Raw genomic sequence first — 21,245 nt, 5'->3', positions numbered from 1 at the left:
TTATATATATACCTGTCCTTTTGAAAATGTCCTTATATTTCTCTTATTAAGAATTTTCAAAGGTTTTTCTTTCCCCTTATCTCAATCCCCATCCTTTATGAAGAGACTCAATGAATCAAAGAATATGAACCCATACAGAGCTTCAGAGACATACACTTTCTAAAGAATATTGTGAGTTTTTCTGGACATAGAACAAATACAAATGAAAATAATAACAAATACTATTTTGGGCCTCACAAATTAGCAAAATATATTCTTAATAAGGCTAATTAATCCCAATGAGAGTGTTGTAAAATGAGCATTGTTATACACACTAACTTTTGGTGGTGCATACAATCCAAAAGGTGCACACATAGCTTTGCAAAGGTAATTTGAGGCTAACTGCATTGAAGGCTTTAAGGGTGTCCACAATTTATTTAAGGAAATTTAACTTTATGAAATCTATCCTGTGGAAATAACTTTAAAATCACAAAGTATGCACTAAGATGTTCATTGCAGTGTCTGTATGTATATCTTAACCACTTTTGAGCTATTGCCATTTTTGCTGCTATGTGTATGTATATATATAATTGTCCCCTTCTTTAAAATGTCCTGTTTTTTTCAAAACTAATTTTTCTATGAGTTTGTCCTTCATGTATAATAGGAACATGTAATGTATAAAAATATAAACATAATTTTATTATTAAAGTACTCAGATTTTTGGTGTCTACCAGCAGCAAAGCAACACAGATACTGTTGAAGCTGTGCATTTGCTTCTGACAACTGGATGAAGCAGATGAAGGAATTGTTGCAGCTTGTGTGCACCTCACTTCTAGCCATAGTTTCAGATTAGTGTGCAAACATAGGATCCTAGAAACTATGGAAAAAGCTTCATTGAATTAAGTGAAAATCTTCTCATGTTTCAAAAGAATAAAAAATAAAATTTATACAGGCAAGAATTCAGTAGAACAATTTGCATAAGAACAAGCTGCAGCCCAGTACTCCTATTTGTTGACGTCAAATAAAGGTGAGACTATTTGGAATTCTGAAATGAGCTAACCTCACTCTGTAACTTGATATTACTAAAATGGTTATTAGTGAGCTGTAGGGGGTAGTGCAGAAGAAACTAATGTTTGTTGAGTGCCTTTATGTGCCAGGTACTTCAAAACTTTGTTTCACTAATCCTCATAATGACCCTGCCAAGTAGGTATTGTGAGTTCTGCTTTACAGGTGAAGAAAGCTCATGGAGTTAAGTAACATGACCAACCATAGCATGGTGCCTGACATACAGTAAGTGTTTAATGAATATCTTTTGAATACATGGTGGTACCTAACTAATGGAAGAAGCAGTATTCAAACTTAGATACATCTCATTACACAGCTCACACTATTTCCATCATAGTATATTGCCTTCTGTGTAAGACTATACAGAATCATTTTTAAATGGCTAAGAAAGAGCACTGCCAGTGTAAACATGGCTAGTAAGCCCAGCAACCTATGATTTCTCCCTTTATATGAGAACAATTTCAATTTCAAAATGTATGCATTGTGAAGGATGAGAAAAGACAGAAAACAGGATCTTCAAGGGCTTTACAGTTACTTAACACAGATAGTACATGAAAATAACATAAATATATATGAAAACATCATATGTGTATGGAACATTTTATTAGTACAGCTCATCCATTTTTTGTTGAGTTCTACTGACTTTTTAAAATTTATTTTACTTTAAGTTCTGGGATACATGTGCAGAACATGCAGGTTTGTTACATAGGTATACATGTGCCATGGTGGTTTGCTGCATCTATCGACCTGTCATTTAAGGTTTAAGTCCTGCATGCATTAGGTATTTGTCCTAATGCTCTCCCTCCCCTTGCCCCCCACCCCCACCCCCCACCAATAGGCCCTGGTGTGTGATGTTCCCCTCTCTGTGTCCATGAGTTCTCATTGTTCAACTCCCACTTATGAGTGAGAACATATGGTGTTTGGTTTTCTGTTCTTGTGTTAGTTTGCTGAGAACGATGGCTTCTAGCTTCACCCGCGTCCCTGCAAAGGTCATGAACTCATCCTTTTTTATGGCTGCATAGTATTCCATGGTGTGTATGTGACATATTTTCTTTATCCAGTCTATCATTGATGGGTATTTGGGTTAGTTACAAGTCTTTGCTACTGTAACATCATCTGAAATGTGTTACTTTAATTTTATGAATGTTAGGTGTTATGTCTCTTTTCCTTTTTTGCCCCACACATCACTGAAACAGATTATATGACAATGCTAAAATAAGTAAAATGTGCAGCATGCTTTCTTAGATGCTTTGTCTCCTGTACCAAAATAATTTACAAATACAAAAGTTGGAAATAATTTTATTAGTTTTTTAATGCATAAATCCAAACATATATTTGTACTGAATATTTTATTAGCTAATACAGTACCATTTTAAAAATTCTACCAACTTATTTAAAATATTTCCTGTAAAAATATCATCCAAAATATACTTTGTTAATTTTTATGAATGTTAGGTGTTATGTCTCTTTTCTTTGACGCTCTCCTTTTTTATCCTGTGCTTACACCAAAAACAAATTATTTGAAAATGCTAAAATAAAATGTGGCATGTTTTCTTAGCTGTTTTGTATTGCTATAAAATATTTTACAACTATGAAAGTTGAAAAATAACTTTATTGGTTTTGCTGCATATAGCTGCCTGTCTACTATAAGAGAACTAATCTATAAAATTAAGGTATTTTGTTATTTCAAGTGTAGAGGGGCAAGAATGTAAGGGAATTATAAAAACCCCAAGATGACTCATTTAAAGTAGATGCACATTAAAATACTATAGATCTGGCATATTTCATATTTATAAAGCAGACAAAAAGAATGTTTATCTTTGCATTTGGCAAGAGTATCTTCAAGATAACTACCACTTTTCAAAGCACTATTGTTGGGTAGGTTTTATTAGGGGAGAGGACTTAGAAAACATGACTTTCCTCATCCAAAACCAAAAATAAATGAGGGCTTAAAAATAGATTATTTAAGAAGATAATGGCCAGAAATAGACTATGACCAACAAGCTTTGGGGCCATCAAGATGAAAAGACCTTTGCTATATTCAAGATCTAGGATCTGAAAATCTCACTTCATAAATTTAACTGGATTTTCTTTTCTGATTATGTTTAACCCCAAAATTTGGTTGTATACCATAGCAGTTTCTATTTTACCTGGAAGTTAAAAGAAAAACCACTGGAATCTAAAGAGAGATGAATAACCTCTTGAGCTTAGATGGAGAACTAACCAGTGGCAAATATGTATCTAGTGGGGTAAATACATCTCAAGAGATTCAAAACATTACAAAACAAGGTGTTTTTAAAAACACTTCAACTTGAAATTATAAAAAAAAGCATTAAAACGTATTAGAGATCTTTCTTAAGGGCTGGTAAAATAAAAACACCCTAAAAGACACACTGTTACAATTTCCTCAGAGAGGTAAAGAGGTTGTAACCAGTATCAGCATTTAAGGATGTCATTTCAGAGCTTGCATTCTTCTCCTTCCTCAGCTATTATAATTCATCTTTATTATCTTAAAAAGAAGTCTGCATTAGGAAAGGGTGAGAGATAATGAAGTAACAGAAAAATAATCTCAAACACTTTACTATTTAAATAATAAACCTGGGTTATAGCTTATGAAACAGTGCAGTTCACCAAAAGTTCATTTCAATTCCTAATACATCTCTACCTCATAGTCTCGCTATTCTTAAACCACAAATTAATTCGTTAGAAGAAGAAACCTAACCATTTTGGTGCAAAAAGTCATCTCCCGTTCCAAAGATGAGAGGTGAGAGAAATGACGATAATTTTCACAAAGTTTTACTAAATGTAACCTAGAAAAAAATGAAGAATCATATTACAATAAGAACAAGTTTCAAAACTAACAGTAAAATAAACAATAAGAAAGCCATAAAAAAGAAAACAATTGTTATAATATTAATTTTATAATTTGCTTACTAACTTGTATGTTTTTCAGCATTTATAATCCAGTACGGCACACACCTGAAATTCCTTAACTCAGTGGTTTTTAAGCTTAATTGTGGCCGGGTACATTGGCTCATGCCTGTAATCCCAGCACTTTGGGAGCCCGAGGCGGGCAGATCACTTGAGGTGAGGAGTTCGAGACCAGCCTTGCCAACATGGTGAAACCCCGTCTCTACTAAAAACACAAAAATTAGCCAGCCATGGTAGTGCATGTCTGAATCCTGGCTGCTAGGGAGGCTGAGGCAGGAGAATTTCTTGAACCCAGGAGGTGGAGGTTGCAGTGAGCAGAGATCATGTCTCAAAAACAAAACAAAACAAAACAAAACAAAACAAAACAAAACAAAACAAAACAAAAACCTTAATTGTATATCTAAAATTCTTGTGGCTTTTTTCACCCTTCCTTCCATCCCAGGCCTCTAAATCGGAACAGAGGCAGGTTAGTGTTTGTTTTTTAAGTTTCAAGTGATTCTAATGTACCAGCCTTGGGAAATACCTCCATAACTGTTGAAAAGGGTTCAGAATATAATTTTAAATAAAATTACTTTAGATCAAAGCAGACTTACAATAAGTATAATATCACATAAAGGATCAACTTTCAAGTGCCAAAGAATACAGGTGTGTACTTGAAGACCTTTTAGTAGTGAAACTCAACAGCTATAGGCAGTGAAGAAAAGAGCATATGTGATAAACAAAATTAGCTATGGCCAACAATTATGCTATAGCTAACTTATGTAGTCAGTACTTTCCAGTGAAGTTGAAAATAAAGCAAAGTTCCATATATTAACCCTGTTTTCCACTAACCCTTCTTTACATGTAGGCCATATGCCAGGGTACCAAATACTGCAGGAATATTCCCTACCATTGCAGCCTCAGTTCTAACATCAAAATCTCCCTGCAGACTAAATGTCTAGAGCAGCACTGTGTCAATAGAACATAGGGGCAGATCTCATACCTCCCAAGGGTAGAAATCACTGAGCACAGGTAAAAATAAAATATTCCAGAAGGAAATATTATTTTACAAATTTTTATAAACACTTTTGTAAAATAATGTACACAGGCTTGCACACTGAAAGACTCAGAGCCATTTAACCATATAACCACTGCAGAATCTTTAACTTCTTTTTTAACTGATTTCCAATTGGCAGGTGTTGCTAAAACTTTATCACCAAAGTTATTTCACTGGCTGAATGTGGTGGCTCATGCCTGTAATCCCAACACTTTGGGAGGCCGAGGCAGGTGGATCATTTGAGGCCAGGAGTTTGACACCAGCCTGGCCAACATGGTGAAACCTTGTCTCCACCAAAAATACAACAAATTGGCTGGGTGTGGTGGTGCACACCTGTAATCCCAGCTACTTGGAAGGCTGAGGCGCGAGGATCACTTGTGCCTGGGAGGCAGAGGTTGCAGTGAGTCAAGATCACGCCACTACACTCCAGCCTGGGAGACAGAGCAAGACTCTGTCTCAAAAAAAAAAAAAAAAAAAAGTTATTTCACTAGCAACATATAATTACCATAAAATAAAGGAAGGTTTTAAATGAACTACACATGCAAAATACACTAGAAAAGCTAGATATTTAAAGAAACGTGTGGTGAATTATTTAGTAAAGCAAAAATATTTTAATTCGTAAGTTACTATTCCCCTAATGCATCTATTTTGTAAATGCTGTTTCACATATGAGGTTTGTAAAAAAGCAAAATACATGTATAAATTGGTGCACATAAAGATGTTCTACAAATATAGCCAGAAGTTATTGTTTTACTGTATGCAAAGAGAGATGGCAATTTTTAATTCAAATGTTTTTAAATATTTCAAACTGAAACTAAATCTTACCAATGGAGATAAGCCACAAGGACTGCTGGAATAAAGAAAAAAAGGAAAGTTATTAATAGCTGCTTTATTATAAAATACCATTAAAACAAGTATTTCAAATGTAGTATTTTACATGTCTAGAAAGATAGCACACAAAGCAAGATGGCCAGCTAATCCTGTCTCTATGAGCATAGGAAAAAATCCAGGACACAAAGCAAATTCTGAACAGAGCTTACCTCTCTGCAGCAGGGCTTGATAAGCAAAGGGAGAAACTTGAGAGGGTTTTTTTACTTCAGGTAATTGGTAAGAGTGATGGAATTATGGAAGATTGCGACCTTTTTTGTTTTTTTTTTTTCAGTATTATTTTCTATTCCTTTATATGAAATTTTTAAAAGAAGTAAGTATATACAGTATGCTTCAGCTAGTTCTAACCAAGAGGAGCCACTCTAGATCAGTTTCTCTAGCATTCATCAGAAGATGATTAAATGCAGGAAATCACTTCCTCAGCAGCACATCTAAAAGCCCCAATGTGCAGCTCAACCCTTGATGAATTGCAAGCTCTTTACAAGAGCCGAGACCTAGAAGCTACTAGATGGCCTAGGAGACTAGTCTGGAGTCACCTGTGCCAACGCCCCATGTATACATAAGACTTCACCTGGGAGCTGGGAGACACTGCTCTGGGTATGGAGCTTTTACAGGAGCTGCAAACGCAGCCTGTGCCCCTGTTTGGTTGGGGAATTGCTTGTTTTCAATTCCCCTGGAGAGAGAAGAGTGGGGAATAGAACAAGTTAAAACACCACAAACTTTGCTATTCTTATAGAGGTTCAGCAGCTTTTCTTGAATTAATGCCCTTTAGATTGTTGTAAACCTTTGGTTAATTTCCAAAGTTTTGAAGAAAATGATTTTGATAATTTTCCAAGTATTTTCATTGTCGTCATGGAGGAGTGCATTTCCTTGGCTATTCCAGAAGTCCTACCTCCCTTCTGAGATTTTATAATGGTATTTCTTATGGTTATCCCAAATATACTTGGCAAGTCATCTTACAAACCACCAATAATAGCCTCTTAAAAATTCAAAAATTACTTCACTTGGCTAACAAAATAAATGCAAATTAATTCAATAATTATTGAAGAAATTAAATTTTTAAAAATTAAAAAATTGCAATGTTGAAATTGTCAACCATGCTTACCCAGATCTTTTCCTATATTACTAACTGTCCTGGGCTTATCTTAAATACTTCTTGGAAGATTTACTTGTTTTATACCAGGATAGGCAAAGTATGGCCCATGGTGTATTTTTGGACTGTCTGCAAGCACGGTTGCTATAATTTTTAAAAGGTTGAAAACTTTAAATGGTTGTAAAGATGCTCATTAACTGTTTATTAGGCTTCATTAATTTTAAAATATACAGAGACTATCCTGTTCAACTATATTTGTATCCTATTTCTAATTCTCCTAACAATTATATACACTGGCAAAAACTCTTCAGATGATATATAAGGAAAAGGTCAAATATACTACCAAATTCATCCAGCTTTCCAAAGATGCTCAAAATCTTTCTGTGTCTCTCACTCCCTCCCTTAACCCACATACCACATCTGAAAAAAATGATATGTTGCAACGATGCCAGTATTCTAAATGCTTGAAGGGCTTATCACATGCCCTTTCCAAGCTGTGACAGAAGCATGTCCCCTGGACCCCGGCATCCTATCAGTCTCACCTCTGAAGGTGACCCAGCCTCATACTTCACTGAAACAAAGACCATTAGACGCCAGCACTCCCAACTTCTTTTATCTCCACTTTAACATTTCTCCATATAGTAATCCTCGCTTTTCTACTCCCTGCCATCTCAGAAAAGGAATTCTCTCTCCTCTTTTCCACAGTTAGCTTCTCAAATTTGTGCCTTTAATTCTACCCCTCCAAATATTCCAAGACTTGCTCCACTAATTATTTCCTCTCTTGGAATCTTAATCTGATCCTCTTCCCTTGATCCTTCCCCTCAGCCTTTAAAACTCCTAGACCTTAAAACACTCTCTGCGATCTGACAGCCCTTCAGACCAATATACTCCCTATCTCTCTCTCTCCCCTGGTTCAATGACAAGATTTTTGGCCAACTTCTTTCTATTCGGACCTTGCTTTTATTTCCTACTAGGCACCCACAAACCCTTGCTTGTTAAACTGATCTCCTTCAAGACTCAAGAAAAGCGCCATGCGGCTACCTCCTGGAGCTCTCCTGCCCTCTCCTTACCGAAGTCCAAAGTGGTTCTGCTGGGGAACCACCACGCCTGCAGTTCGTGCACCTCTTCCCGGAGCTGCGCCAGGGAATTACGGACCAACAGGAAGGGGCCGAGAAGAAGGGTCTTGGCCACCACCTTTAGCTCCAAGCCTTTTCGATTTTCCACATTTCGGATCCTCCGCCGGAAGGACCTCCCGCCGCCTAGGGCCGACTTTTCCACCTCCTCTACCTCCGGCTCCGGGGCGGAGGCGGGGGGGAAGGGGGAGGCCCGCACCGCCGCTTAGACTGGCTGGGGCGGGAAGACTGCAGCGGCTTCGGGCTTACTCCTTGTTTTTTCATAATCCCTGATAGAGCTGGGTCAATTTCAGGCACAGCCCAGCCGAGTCAGGCGAGGTCCAGAAAGGCCTGACTCGCCTGGCAGCCTCAACGGTCTTGTCCCCGCAGCCGTTGCGGACCTACCGGTCGTCATGGCGACTGTGAAATGTCGGGTGGGGCGCATGCGTTCGAAGCCATTCGCGCCGGCAGTCCCTGCGTGTTCCCCCACGTGCTCCCAAGCGCGCAGCACCCCCGCCTCCGCGCTTCCCCGAGCGTGCAGCTTCCGGTGAGAGCAGCCCCACGCACAGCCCCCCCACCCTCCCCAGCGCCTGCAAGCCTTTGGTGCGCGCAGTCCCCAAGCCTAGATGCGCAGTTCTCACCTTGCGCGCAGCCCCACGTACAGCCCCCGACACGCTCCCAGCCCCACTGGCGCAGAACCCATCACCGCTTGCCCTTCACGCGCTTCATTGGGAGTGCAGCCCCCACCCCGAGCGCGCAGCTCCACGCAGCCTCTCCACACTCTCCCCAGCGCCTGCAGCACCCCCAGTGCGCACAGCTCTGCCAGTAGCTTCCCCGCGCGCCGCCTCTGCACGGCTTCGGGCCATAACCTTGCTGACGACTGAGTCTGAAGAACTTACGGTGGTTTCATTCTTTTCTTCAGATTTAGTCTTAGCTCTGACATTTTAACCAAAAGGTTACACGTTAATTAACGAGGTATTAAAGGGGAAGATCTCAGCTGAAAGAAATGACTGTAGGAAGTATGTCAGGGAAGCCAACGGAACCGCCGGCCCGCCGGTGGTGCGCCCGGCATGAGGGACGTCTCTGCTCTCCTACGATCGCTGAGGTATCGGACAGTCAGTGCCCGTTACCAAAGCGGAGGGAACGGGCCGAGACTGCGGGCAACACGTGGCAGAGCCCGCGTGAGTCCGGTGGGTCTGATCCCAGAGCCTCAGGTTGACGCGACTTCCTTGGCACGGGACAGCGTTTACTGAATCTTAGAGCAAAATGCTTTTCCAATAAGGTTCCTCAGAAGTCATCAGCCCTAGGAGCGGTGTGCTCAAGCGCTTTCAGCACCAGCCAAGACCAACTAAGAGGGGAGCGCTTAGCTCCCAGTCACCGCGCAGCCCTACAAGAGGCCAAAGCGGCTGTCACAGATGCACTGGGGCCACTGACATTTTCCATGTCCTCTGTCACGGGCCACATGCTGGAGCCCACACCGCTTTACTTCCCATCTGTTTGATGATGGATCAAATTGAACTCCCATATCCTAACTGACCAGTCTAAAGCATGGCTCATTGTGGCCAGGTTAATTTTTCCTGATGCAACACAGCACAAAAATGTTCGTGGCCCACAAATCAAGTCCTAGGCTTGCTCACCAATGCCTTCAATATTTGCCCAATATACCTTTTCAACTTTAATTTCCCACTTCCTCGGGCACAAAATCTTCCATCTCAGTCATTTCAGGTGAAGTCCACAGCCTGAGACATCATAACCGCTGAATTCCTTTATTCATGTGGAAAAGCCATCCCTTGGCTTTTACATTCTTTTCTCCCTGCCCATCTGAATGCTGTCACCTTCCAAGCCCCAGCCCATTTCTCCAGCCCATATTAATTATGCTTTTTCTGAAGGTCTAAAGCACTTAACTGACAGTACTATTTATCTTGTCACTTAGTTAAATTCAGTAAGTGCTACTACTGCTCATTTTTTGTTTTGGGAGATTTTTTTCAAGGAGCATTTCTACATTCCTGGCATTGTGTTTGGTGCTCAAAATGTTTTCTCACTTAATTCTTGCAATAACTGTATGCAAATTTTAAAATCAAGCATCAGGATGTAGTTATTTGCCCAAGTTTTAACAGCTAATAAATTCTATCTGTCCAATACTGCATTTAAAATACAAAGTATTTACGGTGGTTGATAAGAATATATTCTTGAATGGCTAGGCAAACTCAAAATAAAGCACCTTATTTTAAAATATGACTGTTTTAATGTTTTTTGGAACAATAAGTGAAGTGGAGCGATTGTTTTTCTTTTTGGTCAGTTTGTTTTTTCTGGAGTTTCCAATTGCCTTTTGCATCACTTGGTGTCCTGGTGGGATACAAAATGCTCTTACCATGGTCTAGCCCTTGAAAGTACAAATCTGGTCATTTTTATCATTTAAAAAATTAATCTTTTTATAAGAATGTTCATTGTGCTATTATTTATATCGTTAAAAAATAGAAGTGGCCTCAGTATCAAACACTAAGTTATGAAACATTCATATAGTGAAGCATTACAGCCACTAAAGTCATTTTGCATGGATATTTAATGATATAGGAAAATAGTCATGATATAATGTTAAAGGAAAAAAGAAGCAGGATATATTTTATGATTCATATGTTTAGTAAACACATAAAATTAACTGTGTGCCATGTGCTGCTCTAAATCTTTTACACAGGGGACTCATATAGGAAGATTACCAATGTATGACCTTGAGCTAGTAATTTAGCCACTCTAGGATTAATTTCCTCATCTGAAAAATGAAGACAGTTATATTTGTCTTACTGATGGTATGATTGAATGAATTAATGCTTGTAAAGCATCAAAAACACAGCACATGCTTAAACAAATGTTCCTTTATTATGTTCTAGACCGGCCATCCTATAGTGCACTCGTGAGTATTTTTAGGTTGGTGCAAAAGTAATTGCTATTTTTGCCAATACTTCCAATTAATATTTTGCTCACTTGGTTTCTTTGTCATCAAGTGATATGTTAGTAATTATTAAACAGTAATACATGTTTTAGATTCATTAGTTAACTGAGAGATAGTTGCCTAAATCATTATGTATCTACTCCTACTAAGGAGAGGAGTAGATTTGTGTATAAGAGGGAAATCATGACACTTAGTTTTATGTGCAGTTGAATAGAATCATGGATGTTTTCATGTTTTTACAGCTTCTGTAACAGTGGTCACTTATTTTGACCTCATTATTTTGAATGGTTATTTGAGTCACATTTTAGCTGTATACTAACTAATGACAATAACTTAAAGCAGTTAGGTTGATAATTTAATCTATGATTAATTGACAATTAAAATAGCACATTATAATTAGATAAGATGCAATATATTCTTGCATTATCTTACCATCTTTGAAACAGAGATGCCTCATGATTTAGCTTTTATATATATATGTTTTTATTATACTTTAAGTTCTAGGGTACATGTGCACAACGTGCAGGTTTTTTACATATGTATACATGTGCCATGTTGGTGTGCTGCACCCATTAACTCATCATTTACATTAGGTATATCTCCTGATGCTATCCCTCCCCCCTTCCCCCACCCCATGACAGGCCCCAGTGTGTGATGTTCCCCTTCCTGTGTCCAAGTGTTCTCATTGTTCAATTCCCACCTGTGAGTGAGAACATGCGGTGTTTGATTTTTTGTCCTTGTGATAGTTTGCTGAGAATGCTGGTTTCCAGCTTCATCCATGTCCCTACAAAGGACATGAACTCATCCTTTTTTATGGCTGCAGAGTATTCCATGGTGTATATGTGCCACATTTTCTTAATCCAGTCTATCATTGTTGGACATTTGGGTTGGTTCCAAGTCTTTGCTATTGTGAATAGTGCTGCAATAAAGATACGTGTGCATGTGTCTTTATAGCAGCATGATTTATAATCCTTTGGGTATATACCCAGTAATGGGATGGCTGGGTCAAATGGTATTTCTAGTTCTAGATCCCTGAGGAATCGCCACACCGTCTTCCACAATGGTTGAACTAGTTTACAGTCCCACCAACAGTGTAAAAGTGTTCGTATTTCTCCACATCCTCTCCAGCACCTGTTGTTTCCTGACTTTTTAATGATCGCCATTCTAACTGGTGTGAGATGGTATCTCATTGTGGTTTTGATTTGCATTTCTCTGATGGCCAGGGATGATGAGCATTTTTTCATGCATATGATTTAGCTTTTTTTTTTTTTCTGAAGATAGGGTCTCACTGTCACACAGGCTAAAGTGTGATGGTGCTCACTGAAACCTTGAACTCCTGGGCTCAAGGGATCCTCCTGCCTCAGCCTCCTGAGTAGCAAGGACTACAGGTGCAGGCCACCACACACAGCTAATTTGTTTATTTTTGTAAAGATGGGGTATCACTATGTTGCCCAGGCTGGTCTAAAACTCCTAGCCTCAAGCATTCCTGCCGCCTCTGCCTCCCAAAGTATTGGGATTACAGGTATGAGCCACTGCACCTGGCTGCAAATTATCTGTCTTACATAGAGATCTCTAATCCGGTTATGGATATCTAAAACTTGCCTCAGTTTTTCCTTTGTCTTTTAGTAAAACAATTGGGAATTTTAAAAAATGCAATTAAACTATGTAACCAGCAGATGGCAATAATGATCTGTAAATCAAAATTTCAAAACAGTTACTTATTAAATTCATTCTTTAAAAAAATCACTGTCTTATAATAAATCCATTTACTAAATATGAAATGTAGGAAAATTCCAAATGTAACCCCACATAAAAATTACATTGCATATTTCATATGTCAAAATAATTAAGATATTCATCCTGGCAAAGATTTAGTTTTCCAAATAATAATGACTTTGTTTTAATTGATTCGAATAATTTATTAGATTTAAAGTTTTAACTTTGCACAAATACATAGATATAATTTAAGTGGATAGTTAAGTTCCATCTCTAGCCTCCAGGCTAGATAGAGGTAGTTTGGCGAAGACCATTTTGAAAACATTACAAACTTTTCCGGTTATAATTTGGTAATTTAAAATATGAATTTCACTTTAATTGAAACTTTCTGCATAAAAGATTGGTTTTTATTTGTGTTGTCTCATAATTTCTTATGCATTAAGATACTTTTCCCCCTTTGTACAGTGCAAGGAGTTGGAATTGGCACCAAAGTATTAGTCTCTACTTTATCAGCATTAGTTATTCCCAAAGATGGTGGCAAAATTCTTAGGATCTCATAGTTATCTTATTTAGTAATTTTATTTATTTTCATTATACCTTTCTAAGACTTTTTCTACAAATTCAAACATGAAATACATCCTTTGTTTAATTTTGTAGCTCCATTTTTGCCTTCGAAAAATAGGATAGCCATAGGTATGTTCTTCTTGGAGCTTACTTATTTTCTAGGTAATTTCAAATTGGTCTGCTTATAAATGTTAAAAGATCCTTTCAAATTCTTCTTCAGCAAGTTGCCTCCACTAAAAAAGTGTCTTTGGGCATGTGTATTTTATAAAACAACTGCTTCAGTCTAAAACCTTTCTTGGATTTACATATCTTGGATTGACTCATTTTTAAATAGCATATTTGCTGCTGTCGAATTACTTTACAGAGCCTCTTTAAATTCATATTGGATGCAGGTCTTCATCAAGGAGAAAGTGGAAAGACACCAACTTGCTGTGAAGCATACAGCAAGTTTAGATGTAAATGCATCTGTAAGTGATACTTTGCATAATGCTGTCTTTTGGACTATGGAAGAAAGGCATCTGTAATAACAAGTTGGAATTTCCAAGAGTTCCAATCTATTTTCTGTGTCCATGAGGGGGCTATCCACTCCCCACTCCTAACCCCCCCAAAAAACCCCAAAACCAAAAAACTAGAGCTCTGTAAGCCACCCATGCCCTGGTCATGTAGTGCTCCAGGCCTATGTCAGATATGACATACCTTATAAACAACTCTAGGCCTTTATCAGATAAGACATGCCTTATAAAGGCGTGTCTTATTCAAAGGGAGGGAGGTGATCCATAAATTAATTGGGAGATTCTTTCAGCTCCAAGTAGAGAGACTGCACAACTGCATAGTATATGCACATTCATTTGAACCAGATTGGTACTCAGTTATCACTGTTAAATGACTTAACCAACATATACACAACTAAACTTATATACTTGTACCACATCCCCAAATCTACAAAATCCATTTTTCCCTGGATTTGATGGTAATATACCATGTACAAACTCCATCATATTGAGATTATTTTTATTTACCACCAAAGTAACTAATATAAGAATTACTACATTCAATATTAATAAGCAAAAGCCTCTGCTATATTAGTCCATTTTCCCCATTTAGTAAAAAAAAAAGTGCAGCTTGCTGCCAGTGCTCATTTAATTTTACATAAACACTTTATTTGAGGCTGAAGCAAATCTGACTGATTTTCAACATGAAAATAAAATATAAAAACTGTTCTTAGAGTTATTTATAAACAGAATTTGTCTCTAATCCTAATGTAACAGAAATGTAGATGATGATGTTACAGTAGGATTAGAGATGAGTATTTTTGGGGCAAACAGGAAATGATTTAAAGAATGAGTTTCAGAATATTTATGGGCAGATTAAATGCAAAACATAGTAAAAGTGCCAATGATACATAATGAATCTGTGTGCTGTATTTTACATAATATAATATTTTAGGTTGATTTAAGATTGAACTTTGATTATAATATAGAGTTGAAGATATATCACTAGACTAGGCCCAGTATGCTTTGGCCAATTTACTTTGTTTCTCTAGTTCTGATTTCCTCAACTATAAAATACTTTGGATGACATGGCCTAGATAAGGTCTTTTAAACTTATTTGATTCTAGTTGGTATTTGTACAAATATTTAGGTAGATGCACCTGCTAAGTCATACAGTGGCCTGTACTAAGATCTCTTTTTACCACTTTTTTCCTTCCCTCCTCCTCTGCCTCCAGCTATGTGTTCAGACTCCACCCTGAGGGTCTTACTCTGCAATCTATCCCACAGTTTGTCCTCTAGTACCTACACTTGTCATTGCCCACCCAGAGGGCTGAGCTCATCTCTCTCATCTCTTCGGCCCAGCCCCAACCTGGCCTCCCCCTTATCCCTGAACTTTATTCCTCTGATTCCTTCTCACCTGCACTGCCCAGTCTCTAAGTAGGGTGGGCCTCCTTGTTCCTATTTTCTAATTACTTCTATCTACTAGTAGCCTAAATGGCAAATAGAGAATAAGGAGGAGAGTGAGACAGCCCTAAATAAATAATAAGCGTTTATATCAAGACCACCAGACTTGTTGGGGGCAGCAGAGCTCTGCTTTCGCATAGGTATGGACCCATCCCCTAAAGATAAATATGAAACTTTAAAATGCTCTCATCTTTAGTACCATCCATTGAAACCCTTTTTGAGATACTTATTAGTGACAATTTATAATCCATTAGTAGAAAAACCATCGAGTTTTGCAGCTTTCATATTTCTTAATTAAGGCTGTATACCTGGGTTCAAAAAAAGCAAGGTAGACTTTTTTTAAAAAATTAAAATTTGGAAATATTTAAAGGGCTAGTGCAGTGTCTTAGTTATAAGTGTTAACAGAATTTAAATCTTCACTATTCCTAAAAGAAACCCCATATCTAATTGCAGTCATTTCCATTCCTCCCTCCTTCCAGCCTCTGGCATGCACTAATCTATTTTCCATCTCTATGGATATTTCTATGCTGGACATTTCACATTCATGGGATCATATAACATGTAATCCTTTTTGACCAGCTTCTTTCTCTTAGCATCCTGTTTTCAAGGTTCATCCATGCTGTAACATTTATCGTACTTCATTTTTTATAGCTGAATAATCTTCCTTTATATGGATATGCCACATTTTATTTATCCATTTGTCAGTTGATGGGCATTTGGGTTGTCTCCACTTTTTGCCTATCATGAATGATGCTGCTATGAACATTCGTGTACGGGTTTTTGTGTGGACATATCTCTTAATTTTTCCTGGGTGTACATCTAGGAGTGGAATTGCTGGGTCATATAGTAAGTAACGTTGTTTTATCCTTTTCACGAATGGCCAGACTACACCATTTTATATTCTTACCGACAATATATAAGGTTTCCAATTTCTCCACATCCTTGCCAACTTGTTAGTAATTATAATTATAGCCATCGCAGTGGTTGTTAAGCGGTATCTTATTGTTGTTGTTGTTTTATTAAGAGGCTATTTTTAGAGCAGTTTTAGGTTTACAGAAAAATCGAGTAGAAAATCTAGAAGTCCCGTATATCCCCTCTCCCCCACACTGGCAGTCTCCCCTATTATTAAACTATTGCATTATTGTAGTGCGTTAGTTACAACTGATGAACCAATATTGGTGCATTATTGACCAAAAAGTCCATAGTTTACATTATAGCTTACTCTGAGTTGCACAGTAGTATGAGTTTTGACAAATGCATGATTTCATGTATCTACTACTACAGTAGCATCACAGAGTTATTTCACTGGCCTAAGTATCACCTGTGCACCATCCCTTCATTTCTCCCTCTTTCCCCCCAAACCGTGGAAACCACCAATCTTTTTACCATCTCTGTAATTTTGCCTTTTCCAGAATGTCATATAATTAGAACCGCCCAGTGTATAGCTCATTTTTCACTAGCAATATGTATTTGAGATTCCTCCAAGTCTTTTCACAGCTTGATAGTGCATTTCTTTTTATTGCTGAAAAATATTCCATTGTATGGAAAATGGATATACCACAGACTGTTCATCCATTACCTATTGAAGGACATCTTAGTTCTAAGTTTTGGCAATTATGCATAAAGCTGCTGTCAACAGTCATGTGCAGATTTTTAAGTGGACATAAAATTTTAACTCACTTGGGTACATACCCGGGAACGTACTTGCTAGATCATATGATAAGACTATGTTAGTTTTGAAAGGAATTGACAAACTATCTTTTTAAATGGCTGTACCACTTTGCATTCCACCAGCAATGAATGAGAGTTCCTATTGCTCCACATCCTCACCAGCATTAGCATTGCTAGTGTTTTGAATTTTAGCTCTTCTAATAGGTATGTAGTTGTAGCTCATGTTTTAATTTGCAACTCCCTAATCACATGTGATGTCGAGCATCTTTTCATATGCTTATTTGCCATCTGTATATCTTTAAGTGTCTGTTCAGAGAGATCCTTTGCCCATAATTCATCTTTTCCTTACTGTTGAGTTTTAAGAGCTCTTTGTATATTTGAAATACGAATCCTTTATCAGATACGTGTTTTTGCAAATATTTACTCCCAGAGTGTGGCTAGTCATTTTATTCTCTTAACAATGTTTTTCACAGAAGTTTTTAATTTTCATGCAGTCCATCATGTTAATTTTTTTGTTAATGGATTGTACTTTTGGTGTTGTACCTAAAAAACCAAAACTACCTAGATTTTCTCCTGTTACTTTCTAGAAGTTTTATAGTTTTGCATTTTGTATTTAAGTCTATGATCCATTTAAGTTAATTTTTGCAAAAGATTTAAGGTCTGTGTTTAGACTTATTATTTTGCATGTGGATATTCAGTTGTTCTAGTACCATTTGTTGAAAAGATTATTATTTCTCCACTGAATTGCCTTTGTTCCATTGTCAAAGGTCATTTAACTATATTTATGTGGGCCTAGTTCTGGGCTCTCTGTTCCGTTTATCTAATTGTCTATTCTCTTGCCAATAGTACACTGTCTTTATTACTATAGTTCTGTAGTAAGTTTTGAAGTTGGGTAGTTTAAGCCCTCTGACTGTTTTTCTTCTTTAATACTGTGTTGGCTATTTTGGGTCTTCTGCCTTTAAATAAACCTTAGAATCAGTTTGTTCTTAGCCACAAGTAACTGGCTGGAATTTTGGTTGTGTTTGCATTGAATATATAGATCAAGTTGGGAAGAACAGACATCCTCACAATATTGAGTCTACCTATCCATGAACATGGACTATCTCTCCATTTATTTAGACCTTCTTTGATTTATTTTGTCAAAGTTTTGTAGTTTACCTTATATAGCTTTTGTGAATATTTTGTTTAAACCTATTTCTTCTTTTTTCTTTTTTTAGTGATGATATAACTGTTTATTTCAAATTCCAATTGTTCATTTCTGGTATATAGGAAAGCAACGGTCTTTTAAAGTATTAATCTTGTATCCTCTAACCTTGCTATAATTCAACCTTGCCATAATCACTTATTAGATCTATGAGTTTGTTGAAAGCACATTATTTTCTATTTTTTAAAAATATCCATAAAAATAGGAAGGAAAAGATCCATTAAAACTCCAAACAAACCGAACAAATAAACCCACTTGTATTGCGCATGAGTAACATAACTATCCAGGAGGACAAAAAAGGAATTAATCAAAGTAACTGCTGAACATATCATCTGGCTATACACTGTTAGTTGAGTAGCACAGAAACAATGCAAACAAACCCTGACCTCTTTTTAGAAGGTTTGTGTGTTGTAGTTGTACAGGTGAAGCAATCTGAAATTAGTTTTAAGTGTATGGTAGAGTTGAGTAAATAAATACGTTGAGGTAATTGTTGAGTCTTCTTCCACTGTATTCCATACAGATATCAAACGGGGCAAAGCAAGAAAAGAGGACTCTGTGGGAGTGCATTGGAATTGGAGGTATCAGTATGAATTCATGATTTCTAATACAATAGGAATCCTTTTGCCATGAAAGACAAAGACAGGCTGAAGAACTGTACTATATTTAAGGAGACTAAAGTAGCATGATGACTAAATGCAATATGTGATTTTGAAGTGGATCTGTACTGAAGAAAAGATATGCTACAAATGACATTACTGGGTAATTTGACAAATCTGGAATACAGATGATACGTCAAAGTACTGCATCATTGTTAAATCTCCTGAAGTTGCTAACCCTACTGTGATTATTTAGTGGAATCTTGTTTTTAGGAAATACACTTTCAATTATTTAGAGATAATGGGGCATGACATGCTACTTACTCTCAAGGGGTTCAGAAAAATAATTTGTATATATTACATATCTATGCATGTGCATGTGTGTTTATGCACACACTACTCACTGTAAATGCACATGATAAAGTAAATAGGGCAAAAGATTAACAATTGTGAATCTGCATAAAGGGTGTACAGAGTTTCTTTATGGTCTTCTTGCAACTCTACCTTAAGCATGAAATCCTTCCAAATAAAAGATTTCTAAAAGGTTGGTGTTAGGCATGCACAAAAAAATTAAGGGTAATAGAGTAGACTTTTGAAAGCAGGGGGTAATGATAACATCAAATATTTTAAAGGAATGTCGTGTGGAAGGAGGATTAAGACTTACAATTTGGCTAATCTTATTTGGTGTCATTCTGCTTTGTGTAATATCATTACAGCATATCCAAGTGCTCATGGCTGAAATGAGATACAGGAGTTTTTAAGTTTTATGGAGTCTTCAGTATAATTCAGTACAGAGAGGTGCAAAATCATGTGATTGTGAGGGTTCATTGGGTAGCATACACGAATGAAGGGGACTGGGTGCAGAAAATGGAAAATAGTGGGAACTTGAGAGCAATGTCTTTTCCAAAGGCTTTCAAATGCAACTAAAGACAAACCCAAAATACTGTGCAGTAATCCCGGGCTGCGTCCAGCCTGTGAGTGGCCAGCTGGGACCCACGATCTTATCTAATCCTTTTTTTCAGGTGAGGAAACAGGTACCAAACATCATAAAACAGTGTAAGTGAATGAAAGGTGTAAATGGGTGCATATGTATTTTTAAAAAAACACCATTTTTAATGAAAGAAACTAATATCCACACATTTGTACTTATATACAATTGGGGTAATATATAATTTTAAGCTGTTTACAAATAATATGTAATGCTTCAAATATTACATAAGGTTGATAATATATTTCTAGCAGAAATAAATATATTGCACTTAAAAAAACTGCATTAAGCAAGTCTATTGATGCCATTTTTCCAACAGCATGTGCTCACTTCATGTCTGTTTCACATTTTGGTAATTCTCACAATATTTCAAACTTTTTCATTATTAGTATATCTGTTAGGGTGATCTGTGATCAGTTATCTTTGATGTTGCTATTATAGTTGTTTTGGGGCACCATGAGCTATGCCCATATCAGATGGTGAACTTAATCCATAAATGTGTGTGTTCTGACTGCTCCACTGACTGGCTGTTCCCCCATCTCTTTCCCTCTCTTTGGGCCATCCTATTCCCTGAGACACAACAGTATTGAATTAGGCCAATTAATAACCCTACAATGCCCTCTAAATGTTCAAGGGAAAGGAGGAGTTGCGTATCTCTCACTTTCGATCAAAAGCTAGAAACCATTAAGCTTAGTGAAGAAGGCATGTTGAAAGCTAAGATAGGCCAAAATCTAGGCCTCTTGCACCGAACAGGTAGCCGCATTGTGAATGCAAAGAAAAAGTTATTGAAGGAAATTAAATGTGGTATTCCAGCAAACACAGTAATGATAAGAAAGTGAAGTAGTCTTATTGCTGATATGAAGAAAGTTTTAATGGTCTGGATAGAAGGCCAAACCAGCCACAACCTTCCCTTAAGCCAAAGCCTGACCCAGAGCAAAGCTCTAACTCTCTTTAATTCTATGAAGGCTGAGAGAGGTGAGGAAGCTGCAGAAGAAAAGTTGGAAGTTAGCAGTGGTTAGTTCATAAGGTTTAAGACAAGAAGCCATATCCATAACATAGAAGTGTAAGGTGAAGCAGCAAATGCTCGTGTAGAAGATACAGCAAGTTATCCAGAAGATATAGCTAAAATCATCAATGAAGGTGGCTACACTAAACAACAGATTTTCAATATAGACAAAGCAGCCTTATATTGAAAGAAGATGCCATCTGGGGCTTTCATAGCTAGAAAGAAGAAGTCAATGCTTGGCTTTAAAGCTTTAAAGAACAGGCCGACCCTTTTGTTTGGGGCCAGTGCAGCTGGTGACTTTAATTTGAAGCCAATGTCAATTTGCCATTCTGAAAAATCTTAGGACCCTTAACAATTATACTAAATCTATTCTCTCTGTGCTTTATAAATTGAACAACAAAGCCCACATGACAGAACATTTGTTAACAGCATGGTTTGCTGAATATTTTAAGCTCACTGTTGAGACCTACTGTTCAGAAAATTAAAAAAAA

General features: G+C 37.3%; 1 long non-coding RNA gene and 1 pseudogene across 2 annotated transcripts in view; one reads left to right on the top strand and one right to left on the bottom strand.

Annotated features, from left to right (window-relative positions):
* Window positions 1-21,245, top strand: part of STEAP2-AS1 (STEAP2 antisense RNA 1) — a 329,283-nt gene that overhangs the window by 83,708 nt on the left and 224,330 nt on the right. The gene's annotated exons all lie outside the window — the stretch shown is intronic.
* DPY19L2P4 (DPY19L2 pseudogene 4) lies at window positions 2,328-8,528 on the bottom strand (annotated as a pseudogene). The gene is made up of 3 exons (NR_003551.1): window positions 8,063-8,528; window positions 5,837-5,861; window positions 2,328-3,854 (listed from the first exon to the last, which is right to left on the bottom strand). The product of NR_003551.1 is annotated as a DPY19L2 pseudogene 4 (transcript).

This window comes from Homo sapiens, chromosome 7 (assembly GCF_000001405.40).
Source record: "Homo sapiens chromosome 7, GRCh38.p14 Primary Assembly".
NCBI classification, from domain to species: Eukaryota; Metazoa; Chordata; class Mammalia; order Primates; family Hominidae; genus Homo; species Homo sapiens.
Note: the sequence above shows the minus strand (reverse complement) of the source record. Positions and strands in the feature narration are given on the sequence as shown.